General features: G+C 36.1%; 1 annotated feature.

Moving 5' to 3' along the window:
- Positions 21958–22458: an enhancer, noted in NCBI's record as "H3K4me1 hESC enhancer chrX:97199122-97199622 (GRCh37/hg19 assembly coordinates)". NCBI's record gives its function as "activates a minimal SCP1, AML or CMV promoter by ChIP-STARR-seq in naive H9 embryonic stem cells {active_cell/tissue: H9 hESC(naive)}" and the evidence as "EXISTENCE:reporter gene assay evidence [ECO:0000049][PMID:30033119]".

Raw genomic sequence — 26131 nt, 5'->3', positions numbered from 1 at the left:
ACTACTGGGTATCTACCCAAAGGAAATCATTTTATCAAAAAGACATCTGCACTTGTATGTTTATTACAGTGCTATTCACAAAAGCAAAGTCATGGAACCAACCTAAGTGCCCATCAATAGTTGATTGGAGAAAGGAAATGTGAGGTATATATATACCATGATATACTATGCAGCCATAAAAAAGAACAAAATCATGTCTTTGCAGCAACATGGATGAAGCTGAAGGTCATTATCCTAAGTAAAGTAACTCATAAACAGAAAATCAGATACCACATGTTCTCACTTATAAGTGGGAGCTAAACAATCGATATACGTGGATATAAAAAATGGAAATAATAGACACTGGGGACTCAAAAATGGGAGAGGGTGAGAGGAAGTGAGGGTTGAAAAATTACCTGTTGGGTACAATATTCAATATTTGGGTGATAGTTACACTAGAAGCCCAAACCTCACCATTACACAATGTATCCATGTAACAAATGTGTATGTGTACCCCTGAATCTAAAACAAAATAACAACAACAAAAAAATATGTGCCTGAATCTGATTATGAAAGTACAGGAAAAAAGCAAAAAAAAAAAAAAAAGGAAAATTATCTCAATAATTGTCATGGGGAAATGATAGGAAAGGTACTTGTGACCCATAGTTTTACCCTTAGATGTTTTATCACAATTTCAACAGTATGGGTAGTAAATGAAAGTAGCTTGAAATTCTCACACAAAGAGGTTAAATAAAGTTGACTAAGTGTCACTGAGACTTGGGAAGATAGTCAATGAAAAACTGCAATTAATGGTAATAATCTATTCAAAAATAGAAATCGCATCAGATGTTGCAAAGTTACAGAACAAAAAAAAATCCATGAATCTTGAGGCAAAAGCATAGTGAGGAGAAATACCAAAATAACATTATCTTGCGAATTCCATATGACCTGTTTGGCCACGTGGAGGATATATGGGGGATACTTTGAGTATTTGTCACACAACTAACTGGTGCATTGGCAAAACAAACTTTAATGGGGACTTGAATTTCAAGAACTATGCGTCTCAGTATTCTGAAAGCAGAGCATATGATGAATTCTTGACTTGCCTAACAATTTTACCTTATAGTCATTCTTCATTGAAGAAGGAATGAAGAAAACGATTTCTCCGAAAGTAGGGTTGTCAAGAATATGTATTGCACACTCATAAAGTATTTTGATTTCAGCAAAATATATAACAAAAGTGCTCTATGATTATTAGGGACAAGATGCTAAAATATGTATATGGATTGTACTATCCAAGCAGTTTCTGAGAGCACTGGGCAAGACACTGAACAAAAGAGTGTTATATTGATTCAAGGCAACATTTACTTCTGGAAGCAGAATAAACAGTTACATTTGAGTAGCTTAAATAGTCATGAGTCATATGAGTTTCAAAACACTTAAATGCATAAACAAATAAATAACTTTATCCCTAGAAACTGAAACATAAAGTGACACGGTGACTACTTCAGCTAAGTATACCTCTGTAAAAAACAGACTTTAACCTACTAATTCAAAGACCAGGAGTATAAAGTTAAGGCAATCAAAATTCAGCAGCAAGAACAAGCTAAAAGGATATCATACATGCATAGAAATTTATAAGTGGAGTCTCCTTTCATGACCTCTTATGGGTCAAACAACTTTAAAGCCAAGCAACTAGATAACTCCTCAAGGGACCTGGGAATGTTCTCATCACTTAAGTGGTCACTTGCAAAATTATAAACTTCTTATGGACTAAATATAAAGATAATTCTGGCAATTGCCTGCACTGGCTACCAGTGGGATAATAACTGCGGAGCAAAGAAGGAGGAGGGTGTTAAGAGAATTTATCAAAATAATTACAGGAGAATACTTTCATTAAAAAAATAAATTGGTATAATTAGAATAGAATCATAACTCTTTCACAAGTGCTTCTGCGTACACTCCATCTTTGTTACCTTTAACGATTTGACGTTCAGTTAAAATTAAGTACTTCTTCCAGAGTATGGAAAAATTCTGATTTACTGTTCAATTCTTTGCATAATTGGAAATGATGCAGAATTAGTTACTTTTAGCAAGAGATTATCTCTCTTAACCTTGTTGAATTGTATCCACTCTCTGCAACTAAGTAATGCAGAAAAATGAGAATAAAAAAAGGTGACTTGTCAAAATATAACCAAGAGTGTCTTTCCTGTAGGACAAAGAAATACTAACAATTAAAATAGAAAGAAACAAGAGTCGGAAGAGTTATAAATACCTAATAGGATTTGTCAGTTATAATAAAACCCAGTATGTTTATAGCTCCTTTTGTTTAAAACCCAGATATTTCTTGATCCTCAAATATATTTTACAAAGACATTAAAAGGGAGTATAAAGAGATACTTTTCAAGTCTGCTTTGGATTCCTTCAAAATAGACTCTCTAAGACCCTGATAACAACCACATTATCATAATTGGCTCATACATGTCCATGTTGTGAGGACATGAAAAGCAGCCATACATGGGCAAATACTTCATGACAAAAACACCAAAAGCAATTGCAACAAAAGCCAAAATTGACAAATGGGGTCTAATTAAACTAAAGAGCTACTGCACAGTGAAAGAAACTATCATCAGAGTAAACAGTCAACCTACAGAATGGGAGAAAAATTTTGCATTCTCCCCATCTGACAAAGGTCTAATATCCAGCCAGAATTTACAAGCAACTTAAGTATATTTACAAGAAAAAACAAACAACCCCATCAAAAAGTGGGCAAAGGATATGAACAGACACTTCTCAAAAGAAGACATTTACATGGCCAGCAAACATATGAAGAAAAGCTCAACATCACTGATCATCAGAGAAATGCAAATCAAAACCAGAATGAGATACCATCTCATGCCAGTCAGAATCTCAATTATTAAAAAGTCAGGAAACAATAGATGCTGGTGAGGCTGTGGAGAAATAGGACGCTTTTATACTATTGTTGGAAATGTAAATTAGTTCAACCATTGCGGAAGACAGTATGGCAATTCCTCAAGGATCTAGAACCACATATAGCATTTGACCCAGCAATCCCATTACTGGGTATATACCCAAAGGATTATTAATCATTCTACTATAAAGACACATGCACACATATTTATTGCAGCACTATTCACAATAGCAAAGACATGGAACCAACCCAAATGCCCATCAATGATAGACTGAATAAAGAAAATATGGTACATATATACCATGGAATACTATGCAGCCAGAAAAAAAGAATGAGATCATGTCCTTTGCAGGGACATGGATGAAGCTGGAAGCCATCATCCTCAGCAAACTAACACAGGAACAGAAAACCAAACACCACATGTTCTCACTCATAAGTGGGAGGTGAACAATGAGAACACATGGACACAGAGAGGGAAACAACACACACCAGGGCCTGTTGCAGGGTGAGGGGTGAGGGGAGGAAACTTAGAGGATGGGTCAATAGGTGCAGCAAACCATGGTGGCACACGTATACCTATGTAACAAGCCTGCACGTTCTGCACATATATTCCTTTTTTTTTTTATGAAATAAAAAGAAAAGAGAAAAGAAAAGAAGCCATAAGGAGCCACGACACCCAAAATACGTACAAATTGGAAATAAGCATTTCTAAAATATTTTCCCAAGTAGAGGAGTTCAAAACTTCAGCTTGTTCCCCTAATATTTTCAATGAGTCCACACTGTTGAAAAAACCTTTCTTTCCCCAATTCAACTTCCCTCTCCTTTTTCCTAATTTCCTAGCTATATTTCCTTCAATATGTCTTTTGTACATTAGTATCAAATGCAAGTAAATTTCTACCAGGTATTAACATCTCTGTACCTTGATATTTAGGTATTCAAAACATTTTTAAAATATGCAAATCTTTAAAAATGAATCCAAATGCAAAAATTCAGAAAAAAATCTGTAATATCAAAATTAATGAAAATCACAAAGTAGATAACATTTTCTCATATTTAAAAAGCTTTATAAGAAATACCTTATCTGCATTTTCCTCTTCCCATTTTGCAGATGAGGAAGTTGACACACAGCAGGACAAAGGTGTTTGCCCAAGGCCATATGATATAAGTTCTCTTACCTTCTACACTTGTGTCATGGTTGACTTTGGCAACTTGTAATTCTGCAACTTCAGATTCAAGAAGTTGCCTTGGGAAAGTTTTGGCAATGGTAACACAGTTTTAAGTAAAAAGTAAGCATATTGAATAATGGGAAAACTTAAACTAAGATTAACCAATTATCTCACACAGCATGAAAACATGATTCTTGAATGTCTGACTCTACTTAAATTTAATGCATAAATAAATAAATGAAGATAAATGAAAATCATTTTTCTTGGGCTTAGTGTAGTTAAGAAACCATTTAATAATATGCGTCGGTGCAAAAAGTGAAAGCCTGGGTACAAAGGATACAGAGAGGAGTTCATTTGATGAAATTAATGAAGTCCATAACTTATGAACTAAATTCTAATTTACAGAATCATTAACCTTTGAGTTGGAGGCAATTTAGTAGTCACCTAGATTGATGGTTCTCATCCCACACCTATTAATTTAGACTTGATGGGGTTGCTGCAACTGGTCTATGGATGAAAGTTTGGGAAGTACTGACCTCATCCATCCACTATGCTATTGCAGGAATCCCCTCTACAACGTCTCCAGTATATTGCCATCTACTATGACCACCTCATAATATAACAAGGAACTTATGGCTTCAAAAGGCAACTCTTTCTAAAAGCTCTGATTGCCAATCAAACTCAATTTGACAAGCATATATTCAGAGCCTACTATGTTCCAGGCGCTTTATATACATTTTTTAATTCTTACAATAACTCTGGAAGAAAGGATTAATTCTCCCATTTGCAGATTAAGAAAAATGAAGTTTTGAGAAGTTGAATGGCTTCTCCAAATTCACATATCTAAGGGATGGAGCTGGGATTAAAACCCTGTACTGCTTCTTGCATACATTTTCTCATTTAATTATAAAAAATACCTTATAGAGTATATATTATTATCCCAAATTTACAAATGAGAAAACCAAGGTTTGGAGAGATATAGTGGTTATTCAAGGTCAAACAGTCAGTAAGTGATGGATTGGTAATTCAAACTCAGTTCTATCTGATTCCAAAATCTGAGATCTTAACCATTATGCCTTAGACCTTCTCATACATTTTAATATAATACCTTGTGATAAATTTTAAAAAATAAAAGTAGCATGGAAGAGAGAATAGCCAGCTCTAGTAGCAAAGGGGATCAGTTCAGCCTTCTAGGTGAGGTGCTATCTGAGCTTGATTTCAAAAGGTAAACGGAGATCATCCAGGCAAATAAAGGAGTGGAGGACAAATGGGGGAAGATGAACATGTGAAATGGTGTAGAAATATGACACGTCATAATTCCAATGTGTCTTCATGTATCTTCTACACACAATTCTCTGGAATGATGTTCCTTTCCCATTCTTTGATCTGTCACCTTACCATGCTTTTCGTTCTTCAGAGCATTTATGACTATAACAATAATAGTTATTACTGAATACTTACTTTATACCAGACACTGTCCACAGAACTTTACATGGAGTGCCTCATTTAACCCTCACAGAACTCTTTGAGGTAGGCACTATTAATATCTCAATTTTACATATGAGAAAATTGAGTTACAGAAAGAGTAGATAACTTGTATAAGGTCACACAGAGCTGGTAAGCGTGAGCAAAGATTTGAAGCCAGGCAGTCCAGTTCCAGAGCCCTCACTTTTAACCACTCTCTGTCTGGTATTACATTATGTAGCTATCTGTTCAGTTTATCTTCTCTCTCCTCTCCTTAGAATATAAGTTCTACAAGGACAAGGACCATGTTTGTTTTGTTCAATGCTGTATACTGAGCACTTAAAATAATAACTGCCATATAAGAAAATAATTTTTCATTGAATGAATTTTAACAACTTTTTTTTTTTTTGGTATCTACTGTGTACCAGGCTGTGCTAGGTACTAAATGTACAGAGGAAGCCTAATCATTATTAGATCATTATTAGAATCATTTCTAATAAATAGACACTCTTTTTTTTATCCCTTTTAAGTTTCTTCTTTTCTAGAATCAATAGCCCTAGTTTGTTCCATCTTTTCTCATGTGACATGATATTACCCAGGCCTTCCCCTCTGGACATTAGCAGTTCATCAATAAAAAAAAAAAAAAAAGCAGCACAAAAACTTAACAGAGTGCTTTTGGAATGATCTAACTCCCTTTTATTGTACTCTGTGCTTCCTTTAACTCAACCCAACATAGTCATTCGCTTTTCTGGCTGCCATATCATAGTGTTGGCCCATGTTGAGTTGGCAGTGCAATAAAAGGCTGAGTCTTTTTCATAATAATGCTATAATACTAAGCCATTCACCATTATGAATTGTACAGTGGAAATTCTATGAATGTTTCTATGTTTAAATCAATGTATAGAACTTCATCATTACCCCCATTAAATTTCATCTTATTACTTTGGGGCCATTCTTCCAACCTATATATGAGTTTGAATCTTGAGTCTTTTATTCATCTTACCTGTTCTCTTTCTCAGAATTGAATCATCAGCAAATTCTACAAGCAAAACTATTGTGTCTTGATCCAGATAATTGCTCAATATATAGAAAGGAACAGAAGCAGATACAGAGTTCTGTGGCAAGGCACTAGAGATCTTTCTTTAGGTTAACAATGATCCCCAATCAAGACTTTGCATTGAGTTATTCAACCAGTTATGAATATGAACCTGCCTTTACAGTATGGTCCATATCCCTATTTTAGCATTTAATCCACTTTTGTAGATTAAATCATTTTTGCCATATGTTTTGCTGAAATCACAATACCTCATACATAATGCATATTCTTTGCAATCCTAATTCCAGAGAAAGCTTTCCTTCATTGCTTCTTCAGTTGCCGATAAGGTAAAATTGTTAGGCAAGTCAAGAATTCATCATATGCTCTGCTTTCAGAACACTGAGACTTTAGACATATCTCTTGAAAATTCAAATCCCCATTAAGATTTGTTTTGCCAATGTGCCCACTTGTGTGATGGGTGTTGAAAGTATCATTCATATGCTCCATGTGACCAAACAGTTCATATGGGATTCTCACAATTATGTTACTTTGGTATTTCTCCTCACCATGCTTTTGCCTGGAGATTCATGGATTTTTTTTTTCACTCTGTATCTCTGCAACCTCTGATGTTTTTTCTCCTGTTCAATCTGTTTTTGAACAGAATATTAGCATTAGTTGCAATTTTTCACTGAGTATCTTCCCATCAAGCTTCAGTGGCACTAATTAGAATGTATTCAACTTATTTGTGTTAAAATTTCAAGCTAATTTTCAAAAGGATTTGCTAGCATGTTTAAAGGGGAGATTTTCCAATGTTGGTCAAAAGGTACAAACTTTCACTTAGAAGAAATAAGTTTTTGAGGTATATTACAAAGCTTGGTGACTATAGTTAATAATAATGTATATTTTGAAGTTGTTAAGAGAGAAAATTTCATGTCTTACCAAAAAATGATAAGTGAGATGATGGATATATTAATTAGCTTGATTTAATCATTTCACATTTTATGTATCTATCAAAACATCACATTGTGCCCCATAATTATGTACAATTATTATTGGCCAAATAAATCTTTTAAATTTAAAATATTTTTTTAAATTGTTTATATAAGAATAAATACAGGAAAGTTCTAGTATCACTGTGTCTCACTCATTCTCTTTATAGCTATTCTAACTCCAGCACCATTTTGCAGGCTTCCTCCACCTTCGTCTTTTCCTGAGACTATCTCAAACTCCACCTCAGATGTCTCATTTCCAAAGAGGCAAACAGTCCGTACTAGCATATATTCTAAGTATCTGCCATATAGCAGAAGAAAGACCATTGATCTTGCTCAAAAATTGCTGTTCTCATGGTGCTCCTGAAATAAACTAGATTCAATGAAAGAAAAAATTTAAAACTGATTATAATGTGCTCATATATTAGATAATATGGATACTAAGCAAAGTAAACAAATATTTATGTGAATTTAAATTAAAGGAAAAATGCAAAATTTGTGTGTGCTTTTATCTGGAAAATTGATGTCTGAGGATAAAAATTAGCATAAACCTCATTAATGTATAATATTATTGTTCAAACCAGCAGATATTACACTGCAGTTAATTGTATTAACAATTAAGACAAAGGAAATCCTTTATAGCTTGAATAGCAGCTTTAAACTACTCATTTCAAACATGGGAAATGAAATGAATAATTTTGTTTAAAAAGCATTTGTCCTTTGAACTTCAGTCTATTCAACTTCTGAAATGCTTATTAAAACAGAGCTCTGTTCAGCACATTTTAAACTTTAAATAATTATACCACCCAGTGTGCATTTCCGTAAAACATCAGTGGTTGACAATACTATTTCATAAAACATTCATATTAGATTATACAGTTGCTCTTACAGTTCAAAAGGAAAAAGAAAAAAAGAAAAACTTTGTTAATAAGGTGACAAACTGAAGAGAGTTACAGGGAACTTGTTCAAGGAGCCCCAACCTTCCTAAATGATCCAAAGCCTTAGAACTAATGACGGTAATGTCTTCAACTTGCTAAAGGAAATCAATACATTCTCTGATTGTTATTCTCTTTGCCAGTTGGTCAGGCCCGTATCTGATAATGACAAAATGAGGTCTTCCTCTGAGTAGTGTCAGCTCAAAAAAGCTACCTGAACAACTATTGCTAAATTAAGTATTGATGCAACTATAAAAACCTTTCCATCATAAGATAATCCTTCCAGGTTCGACCTTATCATTAGAAATATACAAAAATATTGAGTTCTATTGCAAAACACTTCATTAATGTATACCAATCCGCAATGCAGATGGACAAACACAATGGCTTTAAACATACAAACACACACACACGCCATCTCACAAGGCAAATTGGGTTAAGAAAAACATGGTAAATTCAATGTGTGTCGTAGAATTTAGTGTCATCACTTAACACATTCAGTCCTCTGCTGGCTTTAAAGTTCATACAAAGTTTAAAAGTATTTCAGCAATGGAATCAAGGCAAGCCCAATGTTTTCCATTAGGAAGCAGATGAAGCATAAGGAGTATATTTCCTACTTCAGTTCATAACTGAGCCCTATACCAAAACACCCAAGCTGGAAACCAAATTGCTTAGTAACTTCCATGCAATATAAATTATTTAGTGCCAAATACACAGAAATGAATGGGCCAGAACTAATAACTCTTTTCACGAATCTAAAACAGAAGCAGGGAAGATAGGCAAAGGAAATCTAGCAGGGAAGATACACAATTAAATAAGTAATCACCATAAAATGTGAAGAGTATTTTGTAGGGTATTAGGAGAGAACATACTTGAGAGTGTTTTTTTAGGAGATAACATCAGCTGTGAAATCTGAAGCTTTAGTAGGACTTCCAGGTGAAAAATTAACCAAGTATAAAGAAAACAAGGCCCTTGCCCCACCACACATGAAATGGCCCAAGTCTTCAGCATTTCTTCCCTGAATTATGCAATAATTTTTGAACTGGGTCCTGTTGTCTTTCTCCAGCCTAACTTCTCTACAGTGCTCCCGATCGTCTTTCTTAGAGATCAAAATTCTTCAATGACATAATGCTCTTGAGTCTAGAGAATGACTCGTAGGCCTCCTAGCAGACATTTGAGCTTCAGAATGTTACTCCAGCTTCTCTTCCCAGCTTCATATTCCATCACTTTGGGAATGTAATGGCCCCCAAAGATGTCTATGCTCTAACCCCTGTATCCCGTGACTATATTACATAGCAAAAGGACTTTACAGACATAATTAAGACTACAGAGTTTGAAACAGAGTGTCCTGGATTGTTCAGGTGGGTTCAATTTAATCACATGAACCCTTAGAAGCAGAGCACCTTCTCTGGCTGGAGTCAAAGAGATGCAGCAGAAGGAAAAATCAGAATAATCTGAAACAAGAGATGTGCTCAATGCACCATCATTGGTTTGAAGATGGAGGGAACGATGTGATAAGGAATCCAGACGGCCTTAAGGAACTGAGAGAGGCTCCCTGCTAACAACCAACAAACAGAGACCTCAGCCCTATGGCCACAAGGAACTGAATTCAACCAGCAATCTGAAAGAGGTTGGAAGCAGATGCTCTCTCAAAGTCCTCAGATAAGAGTTCAGGCCAGCCAACACTTTGATCTAGGCCCTGTGAAGACTCTGAACAGAGAGCAATGAGGTGTTTATCACAGCTCTCGAATCCCTGTGCACCTCAGCTATCCCAATCTATACGCACAGAGATTAAAGAAAGCACTAAAAATTGAATGTTAACTGATTGAATTAGTGATTCCATTGGCTCCACTGCATGCCTATGAAGTTAGTATTAGAAGAATTAAGTGAAAGAAGGAAGAAAATTGTCTATCCCTAAAGGTGTTTAATTAGAATATCCCTTTCTTTGTGACTGCTCTCTATTTTTGGTAAGAGCATACTTTTTTAAATTGAAACAAAAATTGAATATTAATTGTAGTCAGCACTCCCCTCATTTCCATATCTACTTCTATCACCTCTATTTTACCTTGTGCTGAAATATTTAAGTAACCAGAAACTAAGTTATGGTAGGCAGAATTCTAAAGGTACTCTCTCCAGCTTCTTGTCTCCGGACAATGAAATAACCCAGAACCATTGTGAAGGAATTTTGCTAATGTAATTAAATGTCCATGTCATTTGACCTTAAGATCTGAGATTTTCTGTGTGAGCCCAACCCAATCGGAAAATAGGTCTTAAAGTGAAGAGCTTTTCCTGACTAGTGGCAGAAGAGAAAGGCAGAGAGGGAAGTCAGGACGATTCAACTCACAAGAAGGAGTCAATATACTGTTGTTAGCTTTGAAGATGGAGGAAGCCATGAGGCAAGGAAGGTGCACAGTTTCAAGGAGCAAAGAATGGTGCTGGCCAACAGCCAGCTAGGAAATGAGACCTCAGTTCTACAACCTTATGGAACTGAATTCTGCCAACAACCTGAATGAGCTTAGAAGCAGATTCTCTCCCAGAGCCTCCACATAAGATCCCAGGCTTTCTGACACCTTGATTCTGGCCTCGTGACAACCAAAGCAGAGAACATAGTTGAGCCCACCTGGATTGTGGACCTACAGAAATCCTGAGATAATAAATGATTGTCACAGGGCATGATGACATGCAACTGTAGTCCCAATGACTTGGGAGACTGAGGTGGAAGAATCACTTGAACTCCAGAGTTCAAGGCCAGTCTGGGCAACATAGTGAGACACCACCTCAAAAAAAAAAAAAGTTTGTCATGGTAATTTGTTATAATGAACTTATAACAATTGAAAACTAGTATTAAATGTATTGACATAACTACAAATCTAACACAGCTCCTATGATATCCATTCCGAGTGGCTTTTCCCTAAAAAGTCTGAAAACTATCAGTGTGGTTTCTGGATATTCTTGTCCAGTCTTGCCTTAGTAGGTGTCTCATATGCTAGGGTGACATGTCCCAGTTACTTAATCTTTGAGAGTCTCAAATTCCTAACCTGTAAAATGCAGATGATAAAACAAAAATAATACCCACTTCAAGGGATTAAATGAGTTAATGCTTATAAAATACTTGGACTACAGCCTGGCACATAGTAAATATTCAAAAAACACATTTCATCATCATTTTGTCTGCTCTCAAATGGCTCTTCTTGCTTCATGCCCCAATAACCAAGTCTTGGTCTTTGCAGGTAACTTTGCTCAAAATTAAGTCTTTATTCATTGGTGCCAATGAAAGATTAATATGGAATTTCTCTCTCTACAACCTGAGAGTTCTGAGTTTCTTTTGCTAGGAACAACTAAATTAACTTTGTGGTATCTGTGCATGGTTTCTTATGCTGCTCTAGGCTTTGGCTTGAAGAATCCTTTCCCCCTTGGGAGAAGTTTCCATTTGTGTAGCATCATTTCATTCCCAGTGTAACATTGTTAATATCTCCAGGCAACCATGGCTAGAGACATTACTGATTGACCATTTGGTCCCACTTAATGCATTTTATGCAAATTTTTCATCCATTTTGCTGTAGTTGAGACTTAGTTTTTAAGAAACATCCATTTTTAAGATGAATCATTCACCCTCCTTAGTAAACAAATTAACTGGTATTATACCAACAGGAAGTATGAATTAGATTATTAAATCCATTTATTTCTTTCTGTTTGGTTTTGTTTTTTGGGGGCAGAGTCAGCACTCTGTCACCCAGCTGGAGTGCAGTGGCGCAATCTCAGTTTACGGCAACCTCCACCTCCCAGGCTCACGTGATTCTCGTGCCTCAGACACCGGAGTAGCTAGGATTACAGGCGCCCGCCACCACACCCGGCTAATTTTTTTGTATTTTTGGTAGAGACGGAGTTTCGCCACGTTGGCCAAGCAGGTCTCCAACTCCTGGCTTCATGTGATCTGCCTGCCTTGGCCTCCCAAAGCGTTGAGATTACAATCCTAATCCAAGTTTACATCCTGGCCTGTAACGTGTAACACTCTAAGTACGTATCATTGGTTTTCATTCCAGTTGATACGTATGTATTACGAAATTTCCTCTGAAAAAGTGTTCATTCAGGAATAATCCTTAGATCTAAGCTCTAGATTCCATATTATAATTTAAAATTACCCAGATCCTCCAAACAATATATCCTCCTTCATGAAAACCACTAGCCCTACCTTTCTTTTTTGAGCAGGGGTGGGGGTGGGGAGGAATCAATCTCAACAAATTTTATAAACAGTAAAAAGAAAAAGAGATACAAAATAATATGTATAGTATAAGTCTGTTTATACAAAGTTCAAAACCAGTGTTTGCCATATTTTCAAATGGCTCAGCAAATAAAGTACATATGTATATCCATCTCTTGACACAAAGAAAACATGGGAAAATGTTAACAACTGGGAGTCTAGGTGAAGAATATGAAAAAGTTCATTGCACTATTTTGCTACCTGTTTATAGGTTTGAGATTTTTCAAAATAAAAAGATAGGAAAGAATTCAAAAACCAGACAAAGCTAATTTATATTGCTAAGGAGTACAAACATGGGTAGTAAAACAATAAAGAAAATAATTATCAAAATTCAGAATAGTGCCAACTCTGGGAAGAAGGATGAACTTTTGCTGAGGGAGACCCTAGTGAGAGGCTTCTGATGCTTGCAGTTTCTTTGCCTGAGTGTAAATATATGAGCTTTCCTTTATAATTATTTATTAAACTATCCATGTAGAGTCTATGCATTTTATGCATGCATATTTCACAAAAGAGAAACGGTATTAATGAAAACGATGTGATGAGGTATATAAAAATACTTGCAAAGAAAATGTACTAGATGATTGTTAAACAATATTATTTTTTAAATATCCTGCTTTTGCTTGGTAACAAGCAAACCTAAGTAAGGGGGGCTTTTGCTATGTGAGTCCTTTACTCAAGATCATTTATCAAAAGGTGCTTATAAGGACCAAGTTTTGAGGCTAACAATATGATAACATTTTATTTGTACATGACATAGTTTTTATACAACCATCAATTCTGAATCTGAATCTTGTTTAGTTTGGTATCAGGTAATACATTCCTTTAAATAATTCCCATGAACTGCAATGTGATACCCCAATACTCATTTTGGCAGATATTCTAGCATAGGCAACTTGAAAAATTATTATAAGAAAACTCTGGGCCATGCATAGGGGTACACACCTATAGTCCCAGCCACTTGGGAAGCTGAAGTGGGAGGATCACTTGAGCCCAGGATTTCAAGATCCTTATCTCAAAAAAAAAAACCCAAAACAAAATCCACTATGAATGAAAGTTTTATAATTCTTCTAATATCATACATGATTTATATTGTTCTTGTATAAATTTTGCCTATTTTCTATAGCTATTTCCTCTACCCCTGTATTTCACTCAGCTCTGCAAATTGACTCAGCTCCAGGTAAAATCGAGAACTTCTCCCGCAAACAGACCTTCAGCTTCTCCAGTGAGGGCGTGTTTGGGAAAGGAGGGTCTCTGTTTCCCACTTCAGCAGTTGGGGCACTCACAGTTTTGAGGGGGTCTCCTGGGTCCTGCAGGAGCAGTCTGCCTCCTTCAGAGCGTCTGTGGGTCCTCCGACTCATTGATTTTTTGAAGAGTTTTTCGTGTCTCTATCTCCTTCAGTTCCACTCTGATTTTGGTTATTTCTTGTCTTCTGCTACCTTTGGGGTTTGTTTGCTCTTGGCTCTCTAGTTCTTTTAGTTGTGATGCTATGGTGTCAATATGAGATCTTTCTAGCTTTTCGATGTGGGCATTTAGTGCTATAAATTGCCCTCTTAACACTGCTTTAGCTGTGTCCCAGAGATTCTGGTACTTTGTTGCTTTGTTCTCATTGGTTTCAAAGAACTTCTTGATTCCTGCCATAATTTCATTATTTACCCAGGAGTCATTCAGAAGCAGGTTGTTCAATTTCCATGTAGTTGTGTGGTTTTGAGTGAGTTTCTTAATCTTGAGTTCTAATTTAATTTTTAATGTTAAACCAATCTTGCATTATTGGTATAACCTTCATTTATTCAAGATATATTATCTTTTTAACATTTTTAATATACTACTGGAATTAGTTTGTTAATATTGTACAAAGAATTCTCTATGTGTGGCTATATGAAAGATATTGGTTTTTTATTTTTTGTTCTTTTAATGCCTTTCTCATATTTTGGTAGCTGTATTATCCTGGCCTCATAAAACACATCAGGAAAGATTCCTTCCTCCTTTATTTTCTTAAAACTTTCACGTTAGATGAATGTTATTTTCTTCTTAAATGTTTCACATAATTCATCAGCAAGAACTGTGATCTAGGGGTTGTGTGTGTGTAAGTACTTTTATTACACATTCCATTTCTTTTATAAATGTCATGTTAATAGGGATTTTTATAGTTTTTACATCAGTTTTGGCAATTTGTGTCATTGAAGGAATTAGTTCATATCATCTAATTTGTCAATTTTTTGGCATAAAATTATTCATAATATTCCCTAAGTATCCTTTTAATGTATGTGAAATCTGGGATAATATCCCTGCATTTATTCCTGATACTTATAATTTGTATTTGCTCTTTCATTTGTTCATTGGCCTACATTCGATTTCATCTAATTTATCAATCTTTACAAAGAACCAGCTTTTTTTATTTTCAGATTGTTCATATACTCACTAATTTTTTATTTAGATGGTCTCTCACTTACTGAGAGAAGAATGTTACTATATCCAACCATGATGGTGCATGTATCTATTTTCTCTTTAGTTCTGTCAGATTTTGCTTTTGTATTTTGAAGCTCTTTTATTAGGTATACATTATGGAATGTTTTTGTCTTCTGGATGAATTGACACTTTTATCAGGATAAATGTCTTTATTTTCTTCAGTAATCCTCCATTTCTTGAATTCTATTTTGCCTGATATTTTAATCAATTCAGCTTTCTTATGCATTTATATTGTATATACAAATACCATTTGTATTGTATATATTTTTACATTTTTTAAACTTTTGTTATGAAAACATCTTTATACTTAAAGCTAAGGTAGCATATAGTTGTGTCTTGCTTTTTCATGTAAAAAAATCATTGCATTAATCCAAGTGGGAACAATAAAGGAGAAACAGAGAGAAAAAAATGCAGAACAGCTAGCAAAATGATAGATTTAAACCTAACCATATCAATAATTACATGAAATGTAAGTAGACTAAGCAATAACTTCCAATTAAAAGCTTTCCTTTGGCTCAATCTAATAATTTTTATTATTCCGTTTTATAATATTTCCTCTATTGGATTTTTATTTTTACCTCTTTGTATTATTTTCAGTAGTTTCTCTAAGAATTAAACAATGCATCTTTATCATAGCATGGTGTACTTAGAGTAAATATTTTACCAATTCGAATAAAAAATAAGTACCTTGAAAGGTAGAAGTTTATATACCCACCGCTCTTTCTGCTATTATTGTCATCTGTTTTATATCTACATATGTCATGAACTGAACAATGCAATGGTTTTTACTTTAGTCAGTTGGCTTTTAAAAATATCAAGTAGTGGGAGAATATTTTTTAAAATTTACCTACATGTTCATCATTCCTGATGACTTTGCTTTCTCCAGGTAGATTAGAGTTTTCATCTATAATTTTCCTCAGACTGAATAACTTCCTTTAGCATTTCTTGTAGCTTTGTATTCTAGTAACAAATTTTCTCAGCTTTTGTTTATCTAAAAATGTCTTTTTTTAGCACTTTCAAGATGTAATTCCAGTTTCTTTCAGTCTCTATTTTCTTTTTTAATCTTTTCCTATAAGCTGTCTATCATTTTGCTGCTGATTTCAATATTATGTCTTAGCTTTGTCTTTTCATAGTTTGACTATGATGTGTCTAAATGTGGTTTTCTTTGAATTTATCCTACTTTGTGTTTGCTAAGCTTCTTTGCTGTGTAAATTAATGATTCGTTATTTTGTTTCTTTGTTTGTTTGTTGACTAGTTGTTTCTCATATTTTACTAAATTTGGAAATGTTTAAACTTTTATATTAACAATATTTTTATACTCCATTATTTCTGCGTTCTCCTCCAAGAGTCTAATTTCATGTATTTTAAATGCTTTATAATTTATTAGAAGTTATAAATACTCTCTTCATTTTTGTGTCAGTCTTCCTTCCTCTTTGTTCTTCATATGAATAATTTTGATTGACATATCTTCAAGCTCACTTACCCTCACTTCTATTATTCTCAGTTGGCTGTTAATCTCATCCAATGGAGTTTTCATTTCTTTGTTTTGATTTCTACTGGCCTCCAAGTAATAATAATTTTTCCTTTTTTAAACTTTTATTTTATTTTATTTTATTTTATTTTATTTTATTTTATTTTATTTTATTTTATTTTATTTTATTTTTAAGATGGAGTTTTGCTCTTGTTGCCCAGGCTGGAGTGCAATGGCGCAATCTCGGCTCACCACAACCTCTGCCTCCTGGGTTCAAGTGATTCTCCTGCCTCAGCCTCCCAAGGAGCTGGGATTACAAGTGTGTGCCACCACACCCCGCTAATTTTGTATTTTTAGTAGAGATGGGATTTCTCCATGTTGGTCAGGCTGGTCTCAAACTCCCGACCTCAGGTGATCTGCCTGCCTTGGCCTCGCAAAGTGCTGGGATTACAGGCATGAGCCACCATGCCTGGCCAACTTTTATTTTAATATTTTTTAATTTTTAACGTTTGTGGGTACATAGTAGATGTATATACTTATGGGGTACATGAGATATTTATATACAGGCATGCAATACATAATAATCGCATCATGGAAAATAGGAGATCCACCCCCTCGAACATTTATCTTTTGTTATACAAACCATCCAGTTATACTCTTTTAGTTATTTTTAAATGTATGATTAAATTATCTTGATAGTAGACACCCTGTTGTGCTATCAAACACTAGGTATTATTCATTCTTTCAAACTGTTTTTTGGTGCCTATTAACCATCATCACCCCTCCCCTGCCCCCACCCCCCACTACCCTTCCCAGCCTCTGGTAACCCTCCTACTCTCTATCTCCATGTGTTCAAATGTTTTGATTTTTAGACCCCACAAATTAGCGATAGCATGCAATGTTTGAATTTCTGTGCCTGGCTTATTTCACTTAACATAATGATCTCCAGTTCCATTCATGTTGTTGCAAATGACAGGATCTCCTTCGTTTTTATGGCTGAATAGTACCCCATTGTGTATAAGTTCCACATTTTCTTTACCTATTAATCTGTTGATGGATACTTAGGTTGGTCCTAAATCTTGGATATTGTGAACAGTGCTGCAACAAACATAGGAGTACAGATATCTCTTCCATATATTTATTTTTCTTCTTTGGGGTATATATCCAGCAGTGAAATAGCTGGATCATATGGTGGCTCTACCTTTAGTTTTGTGAAGCACCTCCAAGCTATTCTCCATAGTGATTGAACTAATTTACATTACCACCAACAGTGTACAAGGGTTCCCTTTTCTCCACATCCTTGCCAGCATTTGTTATTGCTTGTCTTTTGGATGTAAGCCATTTTAACTGTGGTGAGATGATATCTCATTGTAGTTTTGATTTTCATTTCTCTGATGATCTATGATGTTGAGAACCATTTCACATGCCTATTTGCCATTTGTATGTTTTCTTTTGAGAAATGTCTATTCAAATCTTTTGTCCATTTTTTATCAGATTATTATATTTTTTCTATAGTGTTTTAGTTATACCTAGAAATCAAAAACAAGAGGAATTTTGGAAACTATACAAATACATGGAAATTAAGCAGTATGCTCTTGCATGACCAGTGGGTCAATAAAGAAATTAAGAAGGGAACTGAAAAATTCCTTGAAACAAATAATAATGGAAACACAAAATACCGAAACCTATGATATACAGCAAAAGCAGTACTAAGAGGGAAATTTATAGCTATAAGTACCTACATTTAAAAAAGAAGAAAAACTTCAAATAAATAACCTAAGGATGTATCTTAAAAAACTGGAAAAGCAAGAGCAAAATGAACCCAAAGTAAAGAAATAATAAAGACCAGGGCAGAAATAAATAAATTTGAAGTGAAGAAAACAATACAAAATATCAGCAAAACAAAAGTTAGAATTTTGAAAATAAAACAAAATTGACAAACTGTTAGCCAGACAAAAGGGAGAAGGCCCAGATAAATAAATCACAGATGAAAAAGGAGGCATTACAACTGATACTACAAAAATTCAAAGGGTCATTATTGGCTACTATGACCAAACTATCTGCAATAAATTGGAAAATTTAGAGGAAATGGATACATTCCTAGACACATACAACCTACCAAGATTGAACCATAAAGAAATCCAAAACCCGAACAGATCAATGACAAGTAATGAGATTTAATCCATAATAAAAAGTCTGCCATAGAGTTTTTCAAAAACAAACAAACAAACAAACAAAAAAAGTCTGCCAGTAAAGAAAAGCCTGGGAACCAATGGATTAGCTGCTGAATTCTACCAAACATTTAAAGAAGAACTAATACCAATCCTACTCAAACTATTCTGAAAAATATAGGAAAAGGAATACTTCCAAACTCATTCTACGAAGCCAGTATTATCCTGATACCAAAACCAGACAAAGACACATCAAAAAAAGAAAACTACAGGCTAATATTGCTAATGAATATTGATGCAAAAATCACCAACAAGATAGTAGCAAACTGAATTCAACAATGCATCATTCATCATAACCAAGTGGGCTTTATTCCAGGTATGCAAGGATGGTCCCACATATGCAAATCAATCAGTGTGATAAATCATTTCAACAGGATGAAGGATACAAACCATACGATTATTTCAATTGATGCTGAAAAAACATCTGATAAAATTCAACATCCCTTCATGATTTAAAAAACCCTTAAAAAAATTGGATATAGAAGGACCATACTTCAACATAATAAAAGCCATCTATGACAGACCCACAGCTGGTATTGTTTAATTTCCATATAATTATATGGTTTTGAGCTCTTTTCTTTGTATTGATTACTACTTTTATTGCACTGTGGTTCAAAAGTATGGTTTGTAGGATTTTTAAAAATTTGTCAATGATTGTTTTATGTCCAATTGTATGGTCAATTTTAGAGTATGTGCCATGTGCAGATGAGAAGAATGTATATTTTTATGTGTTTGGGTGGAGTATTCTGTAAATGTCTATTAGGTCCATTTGGTCATGTGTCAAGTTCAGGTCCTGAATATCTTTGTTAATTTCTGCCTTGATGATTTGTGTAATATTATCAGTGGAGTGTTGAAGTCTCCCACTATTATTGTGTGGTTATCTAAGTCTCTTTGTAGCTCTCTAGGAACTTGGTTTATGAATTTGGGTGCTCCTGTGTTGGGTGTGTATATATTCAGGATAGTTTGGTCTTGTCAAATTGAACCCTTTATCATTATGTAATGTTCCTCTTTGTCTTTTTTGATCTTTGTTCTCTTAAAGTCTGTTTTGTCTGAAATTAGAATAGCAACCCCTGCTTTTTTCTGTTTTCCATTTGCTTTGTAGGTTTTCCTCCATCTCTTTAATTTGAGCCTGTGTGTTTCGTTGCATGTGAAATGGGTCTCTTAAAGACAGCATAGTATTTGGTCTTGCTTCTTTATCCAACTTTCCACTTTGTGCCTTTTAATTGGGGTGTTTAGCGAGTTTATATCCAAGGTTAGTATTGATATGTGTGGATCTGATCCTGTCATCATGTTGTCAGCTGGTTATTATGCAGACTTTTATATGTGGTTGCTTTATAGTGTCACTGGTCTATGTACTTAAGTGTGTTTTTGTAGTGACTGGTAACAGTCTTTTCTTTCCATGTTTAGTACTCTCTTCAGGACTTCTTGTATGGCAAGTCTGGTGGTAATGAAATCCCTTAGCATTTGCTTGTCTGAGAAATATCTTATTTCTCCTTTGCTTATGAAGCTTAGTTTGGGTGGATATGAAATACTTGGTTGAAAATTCTTTTCTTTAAGAACGCTGAATATAGGTCCCATTGTCTTCTGACTTGTAGGGTTTCTGCTGAAAGGTCCTCTGTTAGCCTGGTAAGGTTCCCTTTGTAGGAAAACTGCCCCTTCTCTCTAGCTGCCTTTGACATTTTGTCTGTCACTTTGACCTTGGAGAATCTGATGACTATGTGTCTTGGTGATGGTCTTCTTATGTACTATTTCTCAGAGGTTGTCAGCAATTCCTGCATTTTAATATTGGCCTCTCTGTGAGTGAGGTTGGGGAATTTTTATGGATGGTATCCTAAAATATGTTTTCCAAGTTGCTTGCTTTTTCTCTCTGTCTTTCTCGGATGCCAATGTGTCATAGATTTGGTCTCTTTACAAAATCCCATATTTCTCAGATATTTTGTTCATTCTTTACTGTTTTTTCTTTATTTTTATGTGAGTTATTTTAGACAACAGGTCTTTGAGCTCTGAGATTCTTTCCTCAGCTTGGTCAAGTCCTCTGTTAATACTTGTAATTCTATTATGAAATTCTTGAAGTGAGTTTTTCAGCTCTATCAGCTCAGTTTGGTTCTTTCTTAAAATAACCATTTTGTTTTTCATCTCCTGTATCATTATATTGTATTCCTTAGATTCTAAGGATTCCTTGGATTGGGTTTCAACTTTCTCTTGAATGTCAGTGACCTTCATTCCTATCCATATTCTGAATTCCATTTCTGTCATTTTAGACATTTCAGCCTGGTTTAGAATCATTGCTGGGGAATTAGTGCAGTCATCTGTAGGTAACAAGACACTGGCTTTTTGAGTTTCCACAGTTCTTACATTGGTTCTTATCTGTATGGGCTGATCTTCCTTCAGTCTTTGAAGTTCCTGTCCTTTGAATGGGGTAGGTTTTGTTTTGTTTTGTTTTGTTTTGTTTTGTTGCTTTTATCTTCTTTGATGTCCTGAGGGTTTGATTGTGGCATAAGTTGAGTTCAGCTGATGGGCTTCATTTATGGTAGATTTGGGGGGTTGTGGGGAGCCAAGGTTCAGTTCAGTACTCCTGGACTGCATGCTCTAATTCTAGGGAGCTGGTATCGGGTACCTGGCTTTGTTCTCTGGCCCCTCAAGGTGAGAACCTGCTGTGCTGAAGGGGCTGAGGTGTTCTGAGACCACTGGCCACAACACTTTGAAGGATGGTACCAGCCAAAGCAATTTATCAGGTGGTGTCAGCAGGATCTGTGCTTGTTTGCATGTGCTAGCAGCAGTGGCAGTGTGGCAGGGTGCACGCACATTGGGTGGTGTGGAGCGCTGGGAGGCCCAGGGCTTCCAGCCTCTGTTTGGGGGTTGTCTGAAGCAGTGGTGGTATCGTGGGGGTAGAGGAGTCAGCACAGGGTGCCCACAAATGCAGGGCTGGTGACCTCTGTGCACATGTTCATGCTGCTGGTGGTGGTGGTATGGGGCAGGGGGCAAGGTTGCTGGTGTCCGTGCAGCATGGGGGTGGGTGCGCTTGTGCTGGCAGCAATGGCATGGTAGGGTGCACACACATGCATGCACCAGCAGGGAAGGGGAAGTGAGGCCTACCTTCACACACGTGCATCAGCAAAGCAATGGGGGCTTTGGCTGTGGGCAAGTGTGTGTTGGCCAAGTGGCACAGGGGAGGCTGCAGTCAGGGAAGGGTGTGAGTGGGCTGGTCCACATTGGTGGAGGCCACTCTGCTAGAGCTTTTCAATGGTCAGGTACACTCAGCCAGTGCAAGAGCTATGATGTGGGCCCCTGCCCTGGTTGGGCATCTAAAGCTGCACTGCAAGCAGGCACTGCCAGATTGGGTCTCCAAGAGAGGCCAGCAGACAGAAATGAGCTCAGGTCCTACTGGCCCCATCTCATGGTCAAGATTGCCCTCCTCTGTTCAGGTTAGACAGTTCCCCTAAGGCTAGAATCTCCTAGGAGAGCATAGCAAGCCTTGGGGGATGAGCGTGCCTGGGTCATGCTCCCCTGAAGATGTTTCTGCACCAGACACTCTAGACTCCACACAGGCTGGGATCCTGCCCCTACTACCTCTCTAAGCAACTCTCCCTGCCAGCTCAGGTGCCCATGCAGGTCATGGGGTCTCCTGCTGCCAGGATTCCAGAGGTCCATATTAAGACAGGCTCCTTCTTGCCTGCTTACCTCACCCCTTCCCCAAGAGTCACTGGAGGCCAGGAATGAGTCCCATTGCATGGTAGCCCCATGCAGGGTTCCCAGCTTCCTCCCACTTCAGCCCAGTGCCTGTGTCACCCCTCCATCCACTCTCAATGTCTTCCTTACAAAGATCTGCTGGAAGTGTGCCAGTCTTCCCAGTGTCCTGGTCTCTCAGTGGTAGATGTTCCTCCTAGTTGCATCCAGGTAGTCATCTTGCCTCTAAATTGAGTTTTCGTTTCTAATATTTAACCTTTAAATTCTAAAGTGTTCATTTTTTAATAGATTCTGTTTCTTCACTGAGATTCCACAACTGTTCAATCATTTTGGCAATTTTCTTCCTCTAAGACCTTGAACATATTTATAATGGCTGCTTTAAAGTGCTTATCTGCTAATTCCATGATCTGGGTCATCTAAAAGTCATTTTCCACTAATTGCTTTATCTCTTTATTATAGATTAAATTTTCCTGTTTCTCAACAGCTATCATCAATTTTTTTTAGATTTTTATACTAGATATTTTGGATAATTCATTGTAGATACCCTGGATTCCATTATGTTCCTCTGAAGAAGGTGTGTTATAAATAATTCGATGATCAAATTGAACTTGTGGAGGCTTGATTTTGTGCTCTGTTAGTGTGACTCTCTTTCAGTTTTTCCCATTGTCCTAAGGTGAATCCCTTAATATGGAAACATAACTTTTACCTCTAAGACATGATCCTTCTGGAGTTTCAGTGGTAAGCCCCGTATATTCACCAAGCCACCTTAAAACTCCAAACTGTCTTTTCTGCCATGAATATCTACTGAAATAACTGCAGCATTTTCAGTCTTCTATCCCCTCTTTTCTCCTGGGATTTTTGGGGTCTTTTCCTGCCCACCCCCCACTACATGCATGGTTCAGATCATACAAGATTTGAAAGCAGTTTATAGGCAGATTTGAGGACTCTCCTTCTGTAGCTTCCTCTTTGTCAGAGTCTCTCCCCTTAAATTCTATCTGAATTGCCATCCTCGAATTCCACTATTTGACCCCTAAAGCCAAGCTTTCCTTTTGATTTCTAACTGCCCCACATTTCATGTTCTTGGCACCCATATCGGGATAAAAACTGCATAAACATGGATCTCATAATTGCTGCCTTAATGAGAGTTAATCCAAGAAAAATTCTTCCACCATTACCAGAACCGGAAAACCAACAAACTAATATTCAAAGGGACAACAGTAGAACATTTGTCTTTGCCATTCTTTCTTTGTTCAACAATTTATTCTTGGATTAACATGAAATAGAGTGTCATCTGCTTCTCAGTAACTCAAGTTCCTATTTTAACTTTAAATCCAACTTTATGTGCCAAACCCTCTAGCCAAAGGCTTATTTTCTTAATTGATTTTGCTTGATCTTTTCTGAATTTTCTATTCCTGAACCTGTTGGTAGCACTAGCATCACACCTACTCATGTAGGCTGCCCTAGACTTCTAGGATCTGATTGATGAGATATCTGCTAAGTAAACCCAAACTACTAATAGCATGTGACTTTAATGAGCTATTTGAGTAGAACTTACAATGCAACAGCATACTCTGCAAATTGGTCAGAGGAACAGACAGGCAGTGTAGCTTATGCTTATGGAATTTTATTGTTTAGCCAGGAAGAAAAAATGCATACTTCTTTTTAAGAGAAGTATGACTTCTTTTTTCTTTGACCATGTTGATTTTAATACTGTTCTCTTGGCCTTCGACACCAGAGCAATTGCCTGTGGCTTTATTTGACTCTTGTCATAGAATTTACCCCCATGTTACACTCCTGCCATTCTATATCTGTCACTGCCCCGACATTTTCAAATGAAAGGAAATTTGAAGGGCATCTATACTCTGACACAAACTTTCTCCCACAAAAACATATATAACATGTGATAGTAGTGATAGTTCTCAGCATTATGAATTTCTCTAAACCTTAGTGAACAGTTGGAGTAGAATGGATTGACACAGAGTTGAGGAGAACCTAGTTCATGGGAAAAGCAGATAGAAATGTTGGTACAGAGGCCGAGCACGGTGGCTCATGACTGTAATACCAGCACTTTGGGAGGCCGAGGTGGGAGGATCACCTGAGGTCGGGAGTTTGAGACGAGCCTGATCAACATGGAGAAACTCCGTCTCTACTAAAAATAGAAAATTAGCCGGGCATGGTGGCACATGCCTGTAATCCCAGCTACTGGGGAGGCTGAGGCAGGAGAATCACTTGAACCTGGGAGGCAGAGGTTGCGGTGAACCGAGATCACGCCACTGCACTCCAGCCTGGGAAACAAGGGTGAAACTCCGTCTCAAAAAAAAAGAAAAAAAGAAATGTTGGTACAGAATACCAGGAGGCAAATCCTACAAAACTAAAGTCATATGCAAGATTTTTCTTCCAATAATATTCTCAAATTAAGAGTATTTAATGTTTCTCTTGAGAAGACATTCAAGTAAAAGAAATATATGCTTTTGAAATAAGGAATAGGTAGGAACATCATATAACTTTTATTCTATCACCTACTAATTTATGTATGTTTCTTCCCAGTAGATTGTAAAGTCTTTGACAACAGAGTTTAGCTTTTTTATCTTTGAATTTCCATATTCTCCCAGCATAGATCCTTGCTTATAATCAGTTCTTAATGAGTGTATGTTGCAGTTAAAATTGAGATTATTTAATTTCAGTGAATTCTGGACCTAAATTCTGTACTATTTTTATTTGTGAAGAGCATGATCCATTCTATTGAAGAAAAGGTAATCCATTCTCCAGTTTCCCTATTGTTCAATGTTGACAATTGAGGATTTTCTCTGCAGTATTTGATTTGGAGGAAACATTCACATTAATTAAGATATACTGGATTTTCCATGCATTTGTGAACCTTCTACCCTCATTTCTACTTTGAAAACAAAAGATAAGATGGATTGGTTTTGATCATAATGTGTGAATTCTGTATGTAGAATAGACACTCATAGCTAAATTATACCTTATCACCTTTGTCAAGGAAGAATTAGAAAAGTGATTAAAACCCAGAAGAAAATAGCATAAAGAGAGAGCAGTGTCTGAGATTATGCTAGTCTACTGGACAGTAACAAGATATTTCAAATTTTACTCAAAATGCTTCTCTGAAAAGTGTGCAGAAGAGGTTCTTTGTAAGTAATTTAACAACTAGTATTATTTATTCCATGGATGTTTAATATTGCCAGCAGTCACTTATATTTTTGCATTAATTTGTATAGAAATAAGTAAATCTTGAATTTAATAAACCCTCGTCTCAGTTGTTTTTATGATTTTATTGAGAAAAAGTGCTCTTTTATCATAAATAACTTACAGAATGACAAGAGGGCAAATTGTTTAAAGTCCTAAATGTATAATTTATACATCTGAAGTTTTGTAGTGTAAAGATATGTGTCCTTTTATACATTTGTGTACATGTGTAAATTACAAGCCTTGCAGATATTGTTTGGCTATACTCAAAATGGCTGTTACTCAAAAGACAAATCACTTGAAGTTCTTC

This window comes from Homo sapiens, chromosome X, assembly GCF_000001405.40.
Source record: "Homo sapiens chromosome X, GRCh38.p14 Primary Assembly".
NCBI lineage: Eukaryota > Metazoa > Chordata > Mammalia > Primates > Hominidae > Homo > Homo sapiens.
The sequence above is the reverse complement of the archived record's forward strand: the minus strand, read 5'-3'. Positions and strand labels throughout refer to the sequence as shown.